At 39.0% G+C, this 19,511-nt stretch overlaps 3 annotated features.

Annotated features, from left to right (window-relative positions):
• Positions 547-747: a silencer, noted in NCBI's record as "peak4924 fragment used in MPRA reporter construct". NCBI's record gives its function as "represses an SCP1 promoter by STARR-seq MPRAs in K562 erythroleukemia cells {active_cell/tissue: K562}" and the evidence as "EXISTENCE:reporter gene assay evidence [ECO:0000049][PMID:32103011]".
• Positions 17,737-18,237: an enhancer, noted in NCBI's record as "H3K4me1 hESC enhancer chr3:172167625-172168125 (GRCh37/hg19 assembly coordinates)". NCBI's record gives its function as "activates a minimal SCP1, AML or CMV promoter by ChIP-STARR-seq in naive H9 embryonic stem cells {active_cell/tissue: H9 hESC(naive)}" and the evidence as "EXISTENCE:reporter gene assay evidence [ECO:0000049][PMID:30033119]".
• Positions 18,238-18,738: an enhancer, noted in NCBI's record as "H3K4me1 hESC enhancer chr3:172167124-172167624 (GRCh37/hg19 assembly coordinates)". NCBI's record gives its function as "activates a minimal SCP1, AML or CMV promoter by ChIP-STARR-seq in naive H9 embryonic stem cells {active_cell/tissue: H9 hESC(naive)}" and the evidence as "EXISTENCE:reporter gene assay evidence [ECO:0000049][PMID:30033119]".

Below are 19,511 nucleotides of genomic sequence, written 5' to 3'. Positions count from 1 at the left end.
GCTTGCAGTGAGCCGAAATCGCGCCACTGCACTCCAGCCTGGGCGACAGAGTGAGACTCTGTCTCAAAAAAAAAAAAAAAAAAAAAAATGCAGGGCTGGGGCTTCCAGGGTATTTATTCTGGGGTAAGAGCATGAATATTAAAAAATAACTGGGCAATGCTATTCCCTTTTTCCTGATTTGAAATGGCAGCCTCAACACCTGACGATTTTTCAGGGAAGGGTAAAATACCATGATGATGTCTCTTAAAAGAAACAAGAAATTCCCTACATGGAGGTACCAGTGGTTTGGTATATTTGTAACTAAAATAAATTTGGGGAGATATAAAATTGAATCAATTAGGACACTTTCAGCTTCAGTTCACAGAAACCTCATTTCTGATGGGGTTACACAGTAAGAAAAGAGATCCTTCACGGGAAGTCCAAAGGCAGGGCATGATCCATGGTTGGTCGATTTGGCTCTTTCCATCTTTTGGTTCTACCTTCCTTAGTTAAGCTTCATCCTCAGGCTGGTGGCTGTAGTGATTTCAGATATCACACAGCCATTCCAGGCAGTGGCCAGGGGCAGACCAGCAGCTGCTTATTAAGAGTGGGAGGAATTTTCCCAGATGTCCTCAGTATACCTCCTCTCCATACTGGCCAGAGGTGAGTCATAGTTCATTCTTGAGTCAATCACTGACAGGAAGATTGGCTTAGTAAACATCTAGGGTGTGAGAATTCTTATTGTAGGTTTGTTTTCACTGTGATTGGAAAAACCAATTTTCTCTTACCTCTGTAATTCTAGCTAATCTAAGCTAATCTAAATCAGAGGTCAGCAAACAAATCTGACTCATCACAAGTTTTGGTAAGTAAAGTTTTATTGGAACACAGCTGCATCCAATGAGGTTTTAGGCAGGGGAATGTCTGGATTAGATTTGTATTTCCCAAAGATCACTGGCTGCAGGTGGCAAATAGATTGTGGAACAACAGTGGACAGAGAGAGATCAGTCCCTTGGGTATTGTAGCAGTTCTAGTGGGGGATTTGGAGGCATTGGTGGTAGAGATGGTGAAAAGTAACTAGAACCCTATGTGAACTGACTGGCTTTCCATGAAACATTTAAACTACCTTCAAGAAGCTTATAATGTAATAGAAGAGGTGACTCACAAGTATAAAATCACAGAAACAGTGTATAATTGGGAAATAAACTGAAAAGTTCTAACTCTGAGCACTACAGGAATTGAAAGCAGGAAATGTTTCAGGACTCCAGGGGTTAGGTCTTGGGTGGAGAAGCCAGAGGCAAGAGGTGGTGTGACGGTTAATACTGTTTCTTTTATTATTATTATTATTATTATTTTCTCATTTTATTTTATTTATTTTTTTATTATTATTACACTTTAAGTTTTAGGGTACATGTGCACAACGTGCAGGTTTGTTACATATGTATACATGTGCCATGTTGGTGTGCTGCACCCATTAACTCGTCATTTAGCATTAGGTATGTTTATTGCGGCACTATTCACAATAGCAAAGACTTGGAACCAACCCAAATGTCCAACAGTGATGGACTGGATTAAGAAAATGTGGCATATATACACCATGGAATACTATGCAGCCGTAAAAAATGATGAGTTCGTGTCCTTTGTAGGGACATGGATGAAGCTGGAAACCATCATTCTCAGCAAACTATTGCAAGGACAAAAAACCAAACACTGCATGTTCTCACTCACAGGTGGGAATTGAACAATGAGAACACATGGACACAGGAAGGGAACATCACACACCGGGGACTGTTGTGGGGTGGGGGGAGCGGGGAGGGATAGCATTAGGAGATATACCCAATGCTAAATGATGGGTTAATACTAAGTTTGAACTTGATTGGATTGAAGGATGCAAAGTATTGTTCCTGGGTGTGTCTGTGAGGGTGCTGCCAAAGGAGATTAACATTTGAGTCAGTGGACTGGGAGAGGCAGACCCACCTTCAATGTAGGGTGGGGTGGGGGGCACCATCTAATCAACTGTCAGGGGGGCTTGAATAAAGCAGGCAGAAAAAGGTGGGAGAAGCCAACTTGCTGAGTCTTCCACCTTCATCTTTCTCCCGTGGTGGATGCTTTCTGCCCTCGAACATCAGACTCCCAGTTCTTCAGCTTTTGGACTCTTGGACTTACACCAGTGGTTTGCCAGGGGCTCTTGGGCCTTTGACCACAGACCGAAGGCTGCACTGTCGGCTTCCCTACTTTTGAGGTTTTGGGATTTGGACTGGCTTCCTTGCTGCTCAGCTTGCAGACGACCTATTGTGGCACTTTACCTTGTGATCATGTGAGTCAATACTCTTTAATAAGCTCCCCTTCATATACACATCTATCCTATTAGTTCTGTCCCTCAGAGAACCCACCCTGACTAATACGGGGGGCAAGAGGCAGAACAGTGAAGGAAGGGACCTATAGAGCAGAGATGGTTCAATGGGAGGGAGGGACAAATATTGCTACATAGGCAAGGTAAGGCCCAATTATGAGAACTCTGGAAGGCCAGAGTTTAAAAGACTTGATGTGAGATTAAACAAGGAGCTATTACAAATGTTTATACTGCCTGAGAAGGATAGAGATGAAAGCAAGATTTAAAGAAGTCTAGTTCTGCCAGATTTTTGTGGTTAATTAGACCAAGAAGAACTTGCTGCCCTCATGGTTGTTGAATGAGGGACTGGACTTAGAAATGGAGATAAGAGGTGGTTATTAGGAACATCCAACAGGTTAAAAATAATGAATTTGCTTTGGACATACAATGAGCTTGAAATGATGATGAATTATCCAGTAATAAATGTGCAGAGGCAATATAAACTGGATGATTTTATTTGCATCTCTCTGTACTGTTTCCAATCCCGTGTTGTCTTCTCTTAATAGCCCTCCAAAAAGGAATGTTTCATGATTTGTACAAAGGAAAATTCTGGACTCTAAAGAACTTGGTAAGACTTTACAGAATGAAATATTTTGATAAATCATCTCAATCTTATATTAAATATTACTTTCACGCAATAAAATTTAATTGCTTAGTCATAGATTTGCTTGCATTTTTTACCAGTTTTGATAAGCAACTATTGATATTTAGAAAATCTAACAATAGTAATTATAAGAGCTGTAAACAGAGTCCTATTTTAGTGATCTTGCTTAGATAAAAAATAATTTATAATATTTAACTTTCCTTAAAACTAATATATATTGCAATCTTTAGCAAAATAATCTTGAGATATATTGGACATTTTTGTAAATAAAGCATACATGCATGTCCTGTTTGCGAGTTTTTTACTGGTTTATTAATGACCCACCTCCATTGTGCCTTTTTGTCAGAGATGAAAGTATGTTTTATCTCTTTATCCTCCTACCCCTCAACTCTGCTGAAATAAACTACCACCAACATGCCAATATAGTATTTCACGGAAAAATCTCAAATTTCAAAGATCCAAACACATTACAAATGACAAACACCAAAAGAACAATATCTTTGCTACAGAGATTAGCTTCAGAGAGGACAACAACTGTTGAAGGCATCTGCTAAGTGGGAGTTTTAATTCAATGGAATTTGTTGTAACTCTATCAGCAAAGCTCAATTGCTGTGCACCATCTGTTGAGGCTTTGAAACTGCCTTGCTTATATAGAACCGGATGTAACAATCATACCCATTATAGTAGAATACTATTTTTTACTAAATTTTCGTCTTTCCATTTATTTCCCGATGCTTTCGGAGTCCTTAGAAGACGAATTGGCAAGAAAAAACATAATCTCAAGAGTCAAAGGGACAATTCAACAACAAATAAACAACCTGATTTTAAAACAGGCAAAGAACTTGAATAGAAATGTCTCCAAAAAGATATATACATGGCCAATAAACATATGAAAAGATGCCCAACATTGCTAATTGTTAGAGAAATGCGAATCAAGACCACAATGAGATACTACTTCACTTCCATTAGGATGGTTTTTATAAAAAACAAACAAACAGAAAATAGTAAATGTTGGCTAGGATATGGAGAAATTGGAACTCTTGTTTACCACTGGTGGAAATGTAAAATGGCATAGCCACTGTGGAAAAATATATGGCAGTTCCTAAAAATATTAAAAAATAGAACTGCCATATGTATCTAGCAATTCCACTTCTGGGTATATAACAAAAGGAATTGACAGCAAGGACTTGTATAGATATTTGTACATCCATGCCCAAAACAACATTATTCACAATAGCCAAAATTAGAAGCAGCCCAAGTGTTCATTGATGGGTGAATGGATAAGCACAATGTGGTATATAGACACAATGGAATATTATTTGGCCTCAAAAAAGAAGGAAATTCTAACACATGCTACAACTTGGATGAACCTTGAAGATATTATGCTATATGAACCTCACAATGAGGTTCCAAGGCCCTGATTTTGACCACAGTATTCCCTGCTGCCCAGTCTGCCATCCCTTGACCTGCTTTCTAAGTCTGGTTTTACAACCTTTCTGGAAATCACGATTTCACTGAAAGTTTAAACTATTCATGATACATTTATAGAAAAAAATGTGTATATTGTGTATTTAGCTATCATTTATTGAGCATTATAAAATGTGTCAGGCACTGTTGAGAGGCTGAGAATTCAATAGTTCCTAATGCAAAATAGGCATTAATCAAAGAACCACACCAATAAAAAGGTGTGGTTGCCTGAAAGCATATACCTACTTGAGGGCATTGACCCAGATAGTCAGGGAAGACTTCCTTGAGGAAGTGGTAGCTGAAGTAAGATCTGAGTGATGCAGAGGATTTATCCTGGCAGAGCAATGGGAGATTTTAGTAGGACTTTCCAGAGAGAGGAAACAGCTTGGACCCAGAGCCAGGAATGGAGGAAGTATGGCATTTTCAAGAAACTAAATGATCAGCATGCTGTGCAATAGGCCAGAAACATAAATAGGGTCAAGGCAGTGGCTTATAAGTCATCTGTCAATCTTGAGATTTTGGTTGTTTTCTGTAAAAACAATAGAGAACCAATGAAGGGTTTTAGTGTGTTTCGGTGAGAGAGATGATATGATTAAATTTACTATGCCTGCCTTTTGGAGAATAGATTGTTGAGGTTCAGAGTAGCTATAGGGCACCAGTTAGACAGTATTGGTGACAAATTAGATATGAGTCACAGAAAAGAAGGAGATTGGAGGTAGAAAAGATGACTCCTTGGTCTTTAGCTTGCATAGCTGGATGGATACTGATGGACAGTGATCACTGAGGTAGGAAACATATCATCAGATCTTAGTTCAGTTTGGAATATGGTGATTTTTATCATCCACCAAGATCACAAGTTAAGTTTAGAATATGTTGATTTTTAGGGGCCTTTGAGACATACAGATGAAGATGGTAAATAATTTTTGTATTTAGAGATCAGAAGAGATATAAAGATTAGGCTTATTTATGGAGAAGTGAAGGAACTCAAGAGCATAAGTGAAATCACCTGGTGAGAGTTTACAGCAAGAAGAAAAAAGGACTTAGGAGTCTGAAGGAACTCTAAAATTTAAATGCTGGATAAAGAGAAATGAGTCTTTAAAAGAGGAGAGAATGATTAATTAGAAAAGTAGGAAGTTAAAATAAAAAATAGGATAGTGCTGGCCGGGTGCAGTGACTCACGCCGGTAATCCAAGCACTTTGGGAGGCCGAGGTGGGCAGATCACGAGGTCAGGAGATCGAGACCATCCTGGCTAACACGGGGAGACCCCGTCTCTACTAAAAAAAAAAATACAAAAAATTAGCCGGGCGTGGTGGTGGGCACCTGTAGTCCCAGCTACTTGGGAGGCTGAGTTGGGAGAATGGCATAAACCCGGGAGGCGGAGGTTGCAGTGAGCCAAGATTGTGCCACTGCACTCCAGGCTGGGTGACAAAGTGAGACTCTATCTCGGAAAATAAAAAAAAAAAAGGGATAGTGCTGTGTCACAAAAGTAAAGAGACAGTGTTTCAGAAATGCAGGTCCACAGTGTTGGATACTGCTGAGAAGCAAAGTGAGATGAGGACTGAAAAAAATGTAACAGCATGAGAATCATTGGCGACTTGAGTAACTTTGTTTTAATCAAGAATTGGAGATAGAAGATCAGAATAGGCTGACGTTTCAGTAGGTTTTGCAACAAGAAAGAAAAGAGGTGGAATAGATGTAGATTGAAGAAGGGAAAAGTTTTTTGTTTGTTTTCTAATTGAAAAGTCTTGAGCATATTTAAAAGCTGATGGGAAGGAGAGAGAGTCTAGGTGTATAAGAGAAGGCATAATACATAATGTAAATGTTCTGAAAGTGGAATAGGATGGGTTCCAAGCGAAGGTAAAGTAATTGGCCTCAGAAAGAAAAAGAGCTCCTCTAGTGGAGAGAGAGAGAATAGCAGTGGGATAGCTAAGAGGTCACTAAGCGTTAAGAATAAGTTTGAGTTTGGGAAGCTGAAAGAGTTTATGTTTTATGGATTCTATTTTCCAACAGTAACTGGCTAAGTTCTCTTCCGATTTTGAAGAGGAAGGTAGGGGGTGGGACTGAAAGTTGGAGAAATATGAATTTCTTTTAAGTTGTTGCTGAGAAGGACAGAGAATGAATTGACCAGGAAAATGTAGTAAGATTTCTAAGCAGTGTTGAGGGCCTACTTGAGATCAGTGATTATAAATTTAGGGAGAAGCCAATCTTTCCTTTACTGGGATGTTCTCCAACAAACCTAGGTTGCTTAGATGCAAGTAAAGGAGAGGAAATTTCTGAGTTTATTCAAGGTTGGAATTTTGCCAGAGAGAAAAAGAGAGCCAGGAAGTTTCAGATATTAACAGAAGTGTTATTAAATAACAAAGCATGAAATCCAAGCTGCCAAAAGCAGAAAACGGAGAGAATAAGCATGGTGGACTATGAGAAAGTGAGAGCCCGATGGTGGAGCAGTACCCAATCAGCCCCCAAAATTTAGAGATTTATGTATGTCAATATACTGTAATTAAAACCGAAATTCAAATGAGGTATTAAAATAAATGCTCAAGAGTTGACAGAATAGGTGAAACAAATTGACAAAATATTTTTAACAGTTGAAGCTGAAGGATACACAGGCTTTCATTGTACTGGTGAAGAAGAACTTCGGAAAAAACAGAGACAGTGCAGGGAGCAAAAAAAAAAAAAAATCCCCCCAAAATATAATTAATGTTTCCAAGCACTATGAGATGATATTGCATTTATGAAATAAGAATGAGCATCAGAAAGAAAAAAAAATTTCCAGAACTGAAGGACATAAATTGAAAAGCCAAAAGAGCATCACGCTCAATGAATGGGAAAAGACCCACACCATATCACATCTCAAGACACTTTGAAACACAGGAATCAGAAAACATCCACTGAGCTTAATCATCTTTCTCAGTCCTTTACCCTCCTCATGCCCTCACTTATCTCCTTCAGTTTAAACTCAGTTGTCAATTATTCTAACCAATTCCTTGGATAGAACCTTAATATCTGTCCTTCTTGTACTTTCTCATCTGTTCTGAGCAAAAGCACAATCTGGTTAAGTTAAATGTCTCTCCACTCCATTTCTGTACCGAGTGCAGCTGGAACACAAAGATGGGAAAACAAACAGTCGTATTGACTGGTGTAATTTTAAAGCCATGATCATTAACTTCAAGTGGGCCCTTACTGATTCCCAGCAATCAGATGATAGTACCCTTCCCTCTCCCAGGCAACTACTTCCCATTGTGTTCCTCTCTTCCAACCTCCAGCATCTCCCCACACCCATTCTCAGCTGTCCCCTCGCTTTCTATATTGCCAAGGAAACTGAAGCCATCAAAGAAGAATTCCTGCAGCCTGGCCCTCTACACCTACCCATTCTCCTACATCTGTGCCCACGTATTCTTCATTCTCTCCTGTTTTGGGGCATGCATTAGGCACACTCCCCCTAAGGCCCACCCTACCTCTTGAGCACTAGATCCAACCCCTCACAGGAACACTGCTCCAGCCATTCTCCATTCTACCACACCATCAGCTTCCCCATTATAGGATATCATCCCCAACAGCATACAAACCACTGTTATTTCTCACACCTTTAAAACAAAAACTTTCTTGACCCCATATCTCCTCTAGTTACCACCTCATTAGTCTTCCTCCCTTTGTGATAAAATTCTTTGGAAGAGTTGTCTATACTCAATGTCTCCAAATTATTTTCTCCCATGCTCACTTGAACCAACTAGGTTTGCTCCAACATGCCACCAGGTTCATTAACTAATAATTACCGCCATGTTGCTAAATACAATGGTCCATTCTCATCTTACTTGACCCATGGCAGTATATGATACAATTGATCACTCCTGTCTTGATATATTTTCTTTCCTATCTTTTAGAATATCACAGTTTCCTGGCTGGAGTTCTACTCCACTGACCACTTATGAGTATGTTTTGCTAGTTCGTTCTCATGCCTCTGATCTCTAAATGTTTGGGGAAGGCTCTAAATCTCTAGGCCCTTGAACATCTCTTTTGTAGCTATGCTTATTTCCTAGCTTATCTCAACTGGCATCCTTATTTTAAATACTATTTATTGCTGACCACACCCCAATTTTTTATCTCCAGCCCCGAACTCCATACCAGTATATCCAACTGTCTTCTTAAGTTCTCTACTAAAATTTCTAATAAGCATCTCTAATTTCATACATCTAGCATTAAGCTTTTAATCTTCCTTTCAAAATCTGTTTCACCTCCAGTCTCTCCTATATCAGTTAATGGCAACTCCATACTTTACAGTTGCGCAGGCCAGTAGATATATATACCTGTTACATAAGCATAGCATATAGATTCTAACTTTTAGAAGTCCAGAACTCAACTATTTCTCACCACTATCATGTCAGTTCTCTGGTCTAAGTCACCAACATCTCTTGTCTCCATAACATCTTGCCTGGATTGTTAAAATAATGTCCTAAATGGCCTCCCTCCCACTGCCTTTGTTTCCCTTTCATCTTTCTCCTAAACAGCAGTCAGAGTGATCGGATTACAAGTATTAGATCATGTCACTCTTCTGCCTTAAATCTTCCAGTGATTTTCCATCTAATCAGAGTAAAATATCATAGCTATAACTTTAAGAAGTTCACCATTTGGTCTCATTTTCTCTTTTAACTCACCTCCTGTCACTCTCCCATTTGTTTGCCCCACTACAGCCACATTGGCCTTTTTGCTGCTTCTCCCACAAGCTAGACCTTATCTTGCTGTATGAGATCCAAGAAACAGAACCTCAATGAATGACATAGAATAAGTGATTAATTTTAGAGCTCTGACCTTATGCAACTGAGGTAGCTTGTTAAACACTTTATAAATTTCTGTTGCTTCTGCATATGATGCTGATTCTGAAATTAGCATGGCAGGAATTTGGGAAGAAAAGACAGATAGAAAGTGGGGGAGATCAAGTGCAATATGAGACCCTTGAGAAGGAGCTGGAATGAATGATGAACTGGAACTCACATGTGTCTCTTCAGAACCCACAGTGATCTCTCACCACCTCCAAACTCTAGCTCCAATGCTGCAGGTGGAGCATTCTCTGTTGGAGAAGTTAGTGCCTTTTTTCATGGAGTTAAACATGCACACGGCCCAGTGGTTGAAGAAATTGAAAGAGGACATCCATCAGAAGCTGGAAGAGCTGTGGTCCCAGCTGCTGCCCCATATCAACAAAGGCAGCAACCGCATGAGCTACAATAGCACCTGGCCTACATTAATATTCTGAGGAAAAAATGACTGCCGCTTCATTTTTACCTTTCCAAACTTGAACAAATGACTCTTGTGGCCAATCCTAGCCAAGAACCACACTTGGAAACTCCTTGAAATTAGCTTAGCTAAGTAGACAGTACAAAGTCACCATACCTCCCACAGAACCTTTATTTCCTCTGCCTGGAATGCCATTGTCTTCACCCACTAATATCCCCACATCCTTCAAGGCTTCATTCAGAAGTCATTTCCCTGGCTATCCTATCTAAAATTTTATTTCTGTTTTGATTTTTCATTGTTTTATTTTCTTCCTTAGCACTTGTCACCGTCTAACCCATTATGTGTTTTACTTATTTATCTTTATATTATTTATTTCACCTGCTGGAATATAAGTGCCCAGAGGATAGAAATTTTTGTGTCTTTCACTTACTTCTGTATTCTCAGTTGTAAGAATAGAGCCTGGCACAAAACAGGTGCTCAGTAAATATGTGTAGAATAAATTAATGAATCTTAAAACATTTCAGAGAAAAAAATAACTGCATTTTATACAAGTGATCAGGAATTAGAATAGTGTTGTATTTGGGAAATTCCAGGGAGCAATTCCTTTGAAATTCTTAGGGAAAGTGATATCTGAAGTAAAATTCCATAACTGGTATAGACTGAATGTTTGTGCCCACCCCTTCAAATTCATGTATTGAAATCCTAATTTTTTTTTTTTGAGATGGAGTCTCGCTCTGTTGCCCAGGCGGGAGTGCAGTGGTGCGATCTCAGCTGACTGCAAGCTCTGCCTCCCGGGTTCATGCCATTCTCCTGCCTCAGCCTCCCCAGCAGCTGGGACTACAGGCGCACACCGCCATACCTGGCTAATTTTTGTATTTTTAGTAGAGATGGGGTTTCACCGTGTTAGCCAGGATGGTCTCGATCTCCTGACCTTGTGATCTGCCCACCTCAGCCTCCCAAAGTGCTGGGATTACAGGCGTGAGCCATCATGCCCGGCCGAAATCCTAATGTTAAATGTAAGGGTATTAGGTGGTGTGGTGGTGGGGCCTTTGGTGGGTGAGTAGGTCATGGCAATGGAGTCTTCATGAATGGGATAGTAACCATATAAAAGAGGTCCCAGAAAGCTTCCTCACCCCTTCTGCCATGTGAGGATGCAGTGAGAAGATGGCTATCTAGGAAATCAGAAAGGATGTCATCACTGGACACAAAATCTGCCTTGATTTTGGATTTCCCAGCCTCTAGAACTGTGAGAAATAAATTTCTGTTGCTTATAAGCCACCTGGCCTATGATATTCTGTTACTGTGGTACAGACTAAGAGGATAACTAAACTCCCAATAAATTGTTATGGTACAATAAAAATACTCATAATATAAAAGTTCCTCAAAAATGTATCTTCCATGTACCTTTTTTCAACAAGTTATTGGAGAATGTGCACCTTCTTAACAGAAAGTGAACCGAAAAAGAGGAAGACACAGTACCTGGCCAGGCAAAGGAGGTACCCAAGAGGATGGTGAACAATCAGGACAATAACCTGTGTAACAAGCCCAGAGAGTACTAGTTCAGATTGGAGTAGCGGAGTGTAGGTATCCAGAAGCACTGTCCCAAAGAAACAGGTCGAAATGCGTAAAATAACCTGTTGAGTTAAAAAATGTTGAGAGGAAGATTAGTAGTAGTTATTCAGAAACTAGGCAAATCATCCAATAAGGTGGTTATAACACCAAGGAAAACAAAAGGTGTTTCAAGAAAGGAGAATATTATCACAGTGTACTATGTGGTTCAGATTTAGTAATATCTACATCAGCATAAAATGTGAATATTGAGGATAAATCTAATCCCAAAATTATAGTATGATTACATTTGGAAGATGAAAGAGGGGAGGGTGTGTGTGTGTGTGTGTGTGTGTGTGTATGTGTGTGCGTGTACCCATATATGGGTGATTCATGAGTTGAGAGTATAAAAGAAATAAATAAGCTTCTTTCATAACAGTATACCAATACATAATAATGCATAATGCATAAATCAGTGCCAATATGGTTTAATAAGCCCTGTATAAGTATTTGAAATTATAAACCTATATGTAACTTTGATAACTATTAATAGATAAATTCTGGTATTAACTAGGCTTTAAAGGACTAGGTAAAAGTAGTAATGCTTAATATCAGATGCAAAACTAGTGGTATGAGTATCAGTAAAAATATGGAAAGTCCCACTGAAATATCTATGGGGAAAATTCAAAAAGAGATGGGTATAGGAGACTTTCTAACATGTTTGAGTTTTTAAGAAACATGTTACTTCTATAGTCAGAAAATCACAAAGATTTTAAAATGAATCTCTAAATTGTAAAATTATTTTAATTTTCATAGTGATTACTTATGATAATAGGTCTCATTTGCTAATTAGAAAATGATTTTTACCGGATGTGGTGGCTCACACCTGTAATCTCACCACTTTGGGAGGCCAAGGCAGGGGGATCGCTTGAGCTCAGGAGTTTCCGACCAGTCTGGGCAAGATGGCAAGACTCCATCTTTACAAAAAATAAAAAAAATTAGCCAAGCCTGGTGGTGTGCACCTGCAGTCCTAGCTACTTAAGAAGCTGAGGTGGGAGGATCCCTTGAGCCCAGGAGTTCGAGAATGCAGTGAGCTGTGATTGTGGCACTGCATGCCAGTCTGGGCTAGAGAGCAGGATCCTATCTCTTAAAAAATAATGCTGCTGATGATTTTTAAGGTACTTGAATGCGAAGATTATTTTAGATATATATTTCTACTCCTCTGTTGATATACTTGATATTAAATATACATTCTTACAGCTTGCTGGTCTGGAAAGAGCAATGTGTACTTCTTGCTTTGAAATATGTACATGACATTATTTAAATGAGGCTACATGATGTGGTAGAGAGAGTATAAGTGATGAAGCCAGATATATTAGTACATTGTGTTCAAAGCTTGAATAGAACATTAAAATAAATGATATATTTTATGAAAAGTACAATATAGTGTTTAAATTTCCTTATAAGCCTTCTTATATGTTCTATATTTTTATTAAAATGAAATATAAATTTAATCAACACAGGAAATGTTTGTTTTAGGTGCTCTACTACCTACAAGACATTGTACTAGGTCATCTAAAGAAAAATATGTCTTTGCTTTCAAATTACTTACAGTCACATTGGGAAACATGGCAGAAACTGTAAATTGTTTATTCAAATCTAGAACCCTGGGAGTGATAACGTGCCCTGCTATAAATGTGTATTTTCCAGCCTCTCTTGAAAATGGAGTTGGCCAATGTAACGTGAGAGTTTTGAGTCAGAATTTTAAGAAAGCTCTTTATCCCTGCCTCTCTGTTTCTTCTTGCCTGGAACTCATTTAGATGACTGGGAGCTCCAGCACCAATCTTGAGCCAGGAAGCAACCTTGATATTGGAAGCCACTCACAAAGGATGGTGGAGCAGAGAGGCAAAAGGAGCATGAGTTCCTGATACGAGTCCTGGGCAGTCTATATTCCGATTTCCCTTAGAAGCAAAATGAATCCATAAGATTTTATGTTTTTTCAGTCTCTTTTTTAGGTTTCCTGATGTATGTATCCAATCTTTATCCTGATTAATACATGAAATATGGTATCAAAAAGTGAAATTTTAATAATTAAAGAGTACATGGCACATGGCAGTGTACAATTCATTGAGTGGTACAAATCCAGCATGGATAGGCAGTATATAGTGCCTGAGTGTTGAGACTGGGCTCTGAAAATACATATAGAAATTTAATACAAGACAAGAGTCACCTTAAATTATTAAGGAAAAGGCAAACTTTTTAATAAATGATGCTGAAACAACTGAGTAACCATTTGGAAAAGGATAAAATTGGATCCATATATCATTTCATGTTCCAAGATAAATTGCAAATGGATTCAGAAATATAAGTGTTAAAAACTAAAGCCAAAAAATAATAGAACAAAACACAGATTCCTTTATAACTTAGCAGTGAGTAAAGCCTGCATAAATATGACTCAAAATCCAGAAACAATAACAACAAAGACTGACTAATTTGATGACACAGAAATTTAAAACTTGTGTGTGTCAAATAAAGAAAAATACCCATAAGTAAAATTGAAAAGACAAATGAACAGCTGGGAAAAAATATTTTCTATTTATGTTCTTCCAAAGGACTATCTCTCCAACACAGAAAGAGCTCCTAGAAATCAATTTTTAAAAGCAGAAAAACAACCCAATAGAAAAATGGGCAAAAGTCATAGTCCAGCAGTTCACGTGAAAAGAAAAGCAAATGGCCCTTAAACATATGAAAATATGCTCATCTCACTCAAAATAAAGGAATGCAAAGGAAAAACACAATGAGAAACCATTTCTCACCTAACAATTAAATTGGCAAAAATTCAAAAGTTGACAACACTATGGTAGAGGCTGGGAGAAATCAGGCACTCTCATCCATTGCTAGTGAAGATAAAAGGTGATACAATCCCATGGAGAGGAATGTAGCAATATATAACAAAATTACAGGTACTTTGACCCTTTGATTCAACAATCCCACTTATAAGAATATAATGTAATGTTGTATCTGTTACTTCATACCAAATTTCTCTATATATGTTTTCACAGCCCAGACTTGACGATCAGGCACTATACACTGTGTCTCCATGCTGTATTGTGCCATTCAATGATTTGTATACCGCCATGTATCATCTCTTCTTTTATTAAATTATTTTATATTATTTTGTAATACAGCTGTACACATATAAAATGATATATACATTATCATTTATAGCAATAAAAGATTATTAAAAACACAAATATTCATCAATAAACATTGGTTATATGAAACTAAGGTACATCTTCATAAATGGAAACTGTGTAACTTTCTCTAGGTGGATTATTGAAAGAAAACATTAAAAAATTGCTATGAGAGAATCCCAGGATATAATATTAAATTGAAAAGGCAACACAGAAGACAGTCTGGTATGAATGTATGGTATACTACCTTTTAGTAGGTCACACACACACACACACACACACACACACATAAACTTAGAAAAAGAAACACACACGACAGATAAATTAGAAGCTAAAATTTTTAAATGTTATCTTTTGAAAAGTAGGAAAAGAAAATAACATTTTCCTGGGTATACTTTTGTTTAAAGTTTTAAATTTAGAACCATACTTTAACATTTTAATTGTTAGATCAAGAAAATGTTTTATATATTAAAAACTAAAATTTTAAAGCAAATTTAAAATTTAAAAATAAATAGAAAATTTAAAAATTGAAAGTAATGGAAACAAATGAACCATGTATCAAATTGGTAAATAACCACACATAGAAAAACATTGTTTCAAGTAATTTGAAAATACAGCAATTGTACAAACTTAGTGGGATATACTGTAAGGACAAAAGAGAACTGCAAAAACATCTCAAACTTCATTTGTCAATTTTATTATTAGTGGTAATGCTGACGTTATTAGTCTGAAATCATTTTATGTATAAGATAATTATGTTTATGTTGTTAGAAACAAGATGTTCAGTATAAATATCAACTCAAAGAAGTTAATAATTGGAAATTGAATCAGAAATATCTATACAAATGTATGAGTTTTGAACTTTAATTTGAAAGTAATTTTAAACTTATAGAAAATGTGCAATTATAGTGCAAAGAAAATCATTTTACCGTTTCGTAAGATTTACCTGTTATTAACATTTTGCCCCATTTGCTTCCTCATTTGCTCTATCTACACACACACACACACACACACACACACACACACACATGATTTTTTTGAAACAATTGAGAGTAAGCTGCATAAATCACAGTTGAGTGTGCATCTCTAAGAATAAGAACATCCTCTTCCATGTAGCTGTCAACTTCAATAAACCGAACATTGATCAGAAATTAAAATTAGAAATTACATTTAGTTGTTATGTCTCTTTGGTGTCATTTGTTCTGGAACATTTTCTCAGTCTTCCTTTGTCTTATGTAACATTGAAATTTTTGGAATAATTTTTTAAATAAATGATTCCTCATTTTGAGTTTGTCTGATGTTTCCTTGTGATTAGATTGAGGTTCTTCGTTTCTAGCTGGAATGCATATAAGTGACATTGTGTCCTTCCCAGGGTATCATAGTGGTGATGTTAGTTTTGTTCATCTGCTCAGGGTCTGTCTGATTTATCTACAGTATCATAATTATCATCTCATGATTTATAGATATCTAGATATTGTGAGATGATAATGATTATACACACACTCATCTATATATGTGTATATATATGTATATAGTACATAGCCTATATATATACACACCATATATATGTATAGAATATATAGCAATATATATATTATAGCAATAAAAGATTATTAAAAACTCACAAATATTTATCAATAAACTGGTTAAATGAAACTAAGGTACATCTTCATAATGGAAACTATGTAACTTTATTTATATGTATAGAATATACATATAATGTGTATACATATGTATATATCCTACCTTTGTCTGCAGAACCTAGACCATAATGCTCCAGGGATAATAACCAACCCCACTGCCCAAATGTTGGTCTCTAAATGCTGTTTCCCACTGCGGATACCAGGGATTCTTGAAATAATGGTTGCTCCTAGGTATAGTGTGGAGAATTTACAAGGTGAGCTTGAGGCATCTCATTGTGCCACAAAACACAGCATGTAAGCTCTAAAAATCTAAGTGAGTTATGTCAAAAGGACCCTGGAACCAACTTGAAGTGGATCTCATTGGCCAAAGATGGGACAATTTGAGTGTCTAAAAGAAAACAATCGCCGTAACTGATTGGTATGCACTTACTATATAAAAATCCACAAGTCAATAATAATACTCTTTACACCATTCATAGAACAAGGCATACTGAATGTCACTCCAAAATGCTTTTGTGTCCGTTGTCTGAATGGTTGAGCAAGTTTTCCTTTTTCTGATGGAACTGAACTTTTCCAAGATCCAGCTCAGATGCTGCTTCCTCTGAGAGGCCTTCCCTAAAGCCTCCACGTGGTTCATTCATTCTCTGAATTCCAACAGGGCTCATTGTACATGCCTCTTTAAATGCACCTATCAATACTGTACTAGCATTACTTATTTAACTGTATTTTTCTCTCTAGACTATAAGTTTATAAATATAGGATCTGTCTGGGTTTTATTTATTTTGTTATCCTAGTACCTACCACTTACTAGAGATAGTTTTATATACGGTATTACATAATATTTCACATGTTGTGAATAAATAGAGCAACTACAATAGCACCCTCTGTTTCTTCTTGGTCATGCAATATAGATTTGTCTATATTTTAGAAACTGGTTGAGTGCCATTAAATGGCTGGCTATTTTAGCTAACATGAAAATTTTTTTTATCACAATAGTTTTGGTGGTTTTTGTTTTCAGTTTTTTCAACTATCAGCCATAGCTTTAGCACTGAGTAGACTAGAAATATATCCAACAATATTTTCCTGATTCTCAGTCTTAGGCAATAACTTCCCATAGTATTCTGATTTATCCCAGTCCACTTTCTCTCCCTTTCTTTCCACATACATCAACCTACTGATAATATAGGTCAGGGAGTAACAAAGTTATTGATTAAATAAAAACTTGTTTGTAATTGGTAGTTTGACTTAGTTGTAATACTTAAAAAATAGTAGTCTGAAATTAATGTTTTAAAAACTCAATTTGGGGCCGGGCACAGTGGCTCACGGCTGTAATCCCAGCACTTTGGGAGACCGAGGCGGGCAGATCACGAGGTCAGGAGTTCGAGACAAGACTGGCCAGTATGGTGAAACCCTGTCTCTTCTAAAAATACAAAAAAAAATTATCCAGGCGTGGTGGCACACGCCTGTAGTCCCAGCTACTAGAGAGACTGAGGCAGAAGAGTTGCTTGAACCTGGACTTATGCGCTCAGAAGTCCAAACGGGTGGGAGATCCAATACTGGGAGGCGGAGGTTGCAGTGAGCAGAGATCGCGCCACTGCACTCCAGCCTGGGCGACAGAGGGAGACTCCGTCTCAAAACAAAACAAAACAAAACCAGCAAAACAAAACAAAACAAAGCAAAACGAAACAAAACTCAGTTTGGTCCAATGTCTAACACACCAGCGGCAACCAAACCACTATGTTAAATTTCCTGTATCAAACTTCTCTCATGTAGTAATTTACTGCATGGAGTCTTTCACGCATTTGTGCACACATTCAGTCTTAGGTCTTTGTGGACTTTTAAGTATTAACAATTTAGGTAGTAGAGGTGGTACAAACTGTCTGTGAAAGGCAAGTACAAACGCATTCAACTGAGGGGGATACTCTCTCATACACAGTACGTGGTATCTCATCGGGTGAGCGCCGATGTGTATGGTCAAGGCAGTGACTAACGCCGGCCTGTGCTTCGTGGGAGTCTGCCCTGCTCCTCCGTGGGGTAGGACTGAGGCGTTAGAAGCGCAAGTTAAAAACGGTGGGAGTGACAGGGAAGCCATTCCTCCAGCGGCGCTTTGCGGTAGGATGGATGTGGCGCTGGCCACAGTGCTGAATATGTTCCTGGGGCGGTCCCGAGGTCGGTGGGCCGGGAGGGGCCGGTCGGATTTGTGAATTCGCTGGCAACTGGCAGTCTCATGCCTTCGGGTGCTGATTTCTGGCTCTGAGCAGGAGACGCACAGACCGCGTCCAGAGGGTCACCTTGCTAGTGTAGGGGTGGCCTTTGACCTGTTCCCACCGGCACAGCTTCTACTTCTCAACAGCAACGCGTCTTCTATTTATTGAGTGCCTCCGGTGGTCCCTGACACTTGATATCACCCCCAGTGGTCCGCACAAATCATTGCAATTCAAAGAAAAAGACGTAATGCTCAGGAGGTTGAAGACCTTGCCCAAGGGAATACGGCTACTAAATGGCTGATCTCTCTCAGTTATGCCTCAAAAAATGTTTCCTGCACACTCTCGACGCGCCAGCCTCACAGCCTCTTCTTCACTTGCCGCCTCCACACACCTCCAACCCTGCCTTTTTCCTTTCTCCTGTTCCCTCCCTGACCAACCTCGGCACCCCGCCACCAGGTTTGCATCAAGCAAAAGTAATATACCCTACAGCAGACTCTCTACCACTACCGAGTGATACAAAGGACTGGGATTCTGGACAGGGTTTACTCACATATCTTGCCCCTGTGCGCTCAGAAGTCCCAACCGGGTGGGAGATCCGACACTGGTCCCCGAGTCCCCAGCTCGCTGTGTGACCTTGGACAAGTAGTCACATCGCTGAACCTGGGTCCTATAACTGCGTGAGACTATTCTTTGGTGCTCACCGGTATGAATACAAACACAAGGTCCTTCTTTTCTCTCTCTATCCCCCTTCCCAAGTCGAGTTGGTCAAGCTCGCTTTTTCTTTCCACCAGGGCCATAGCCAGCTGCAGCCTTGTGGAGGAAGAAATCAGGTCCCAGCTGCTAAAGGTGTCCTCCCCACCGCCACCGTCGTCTTCACCCCCACCCCCGGGTGTGACCTGTCCTTCCGGGGCACACTAGTCCAGCGTCGCCCAGGGCTTCGGAGAGAGCGCCTCACGCTCCCGCTTCGCGGCGCCTGGTCCCTGCGGTCCCCACTCGCTGCGACGCTTTGGGAAGTGCGAGATGGAACTGGATCGAGAACGCAAATGCGAGGCAGGGCTGGTGACAGGTATGCGTGTGGGCGCCGGCCGGAGGATGTGTTGGGAGAAACTTTGGGGGAGTTGGTGGGGGAAAGGGGAGGTGTCAGAGAAAGCAGTGGGTCACTCTCTCACCCACTGACCACCAGTCTCTCTCCCTCTTCCTTGTCCCCATCTCACCTTCTTCCTCGGCTTCTGCCTCTCACCTCCCTC

Source organism: Homo sapiens, chromosome 3, assembly GCF_000001405.40.
Source record: "Homo sapiens chromosome 3, GRCh38.p14 Primary Assembly".
NCBI classification, from domain to species: domain Eukaryota; kingdom Metazoa; phylum Chordata; class Mammalia; order Primates; family Hominidae; genus Homo; species Homo sapiens.
The sequence above is the reverse complement of the archived record's forward strand: the minus strand, read 5'-3'. Positions and strand labels throughout refer to the sequence as shown.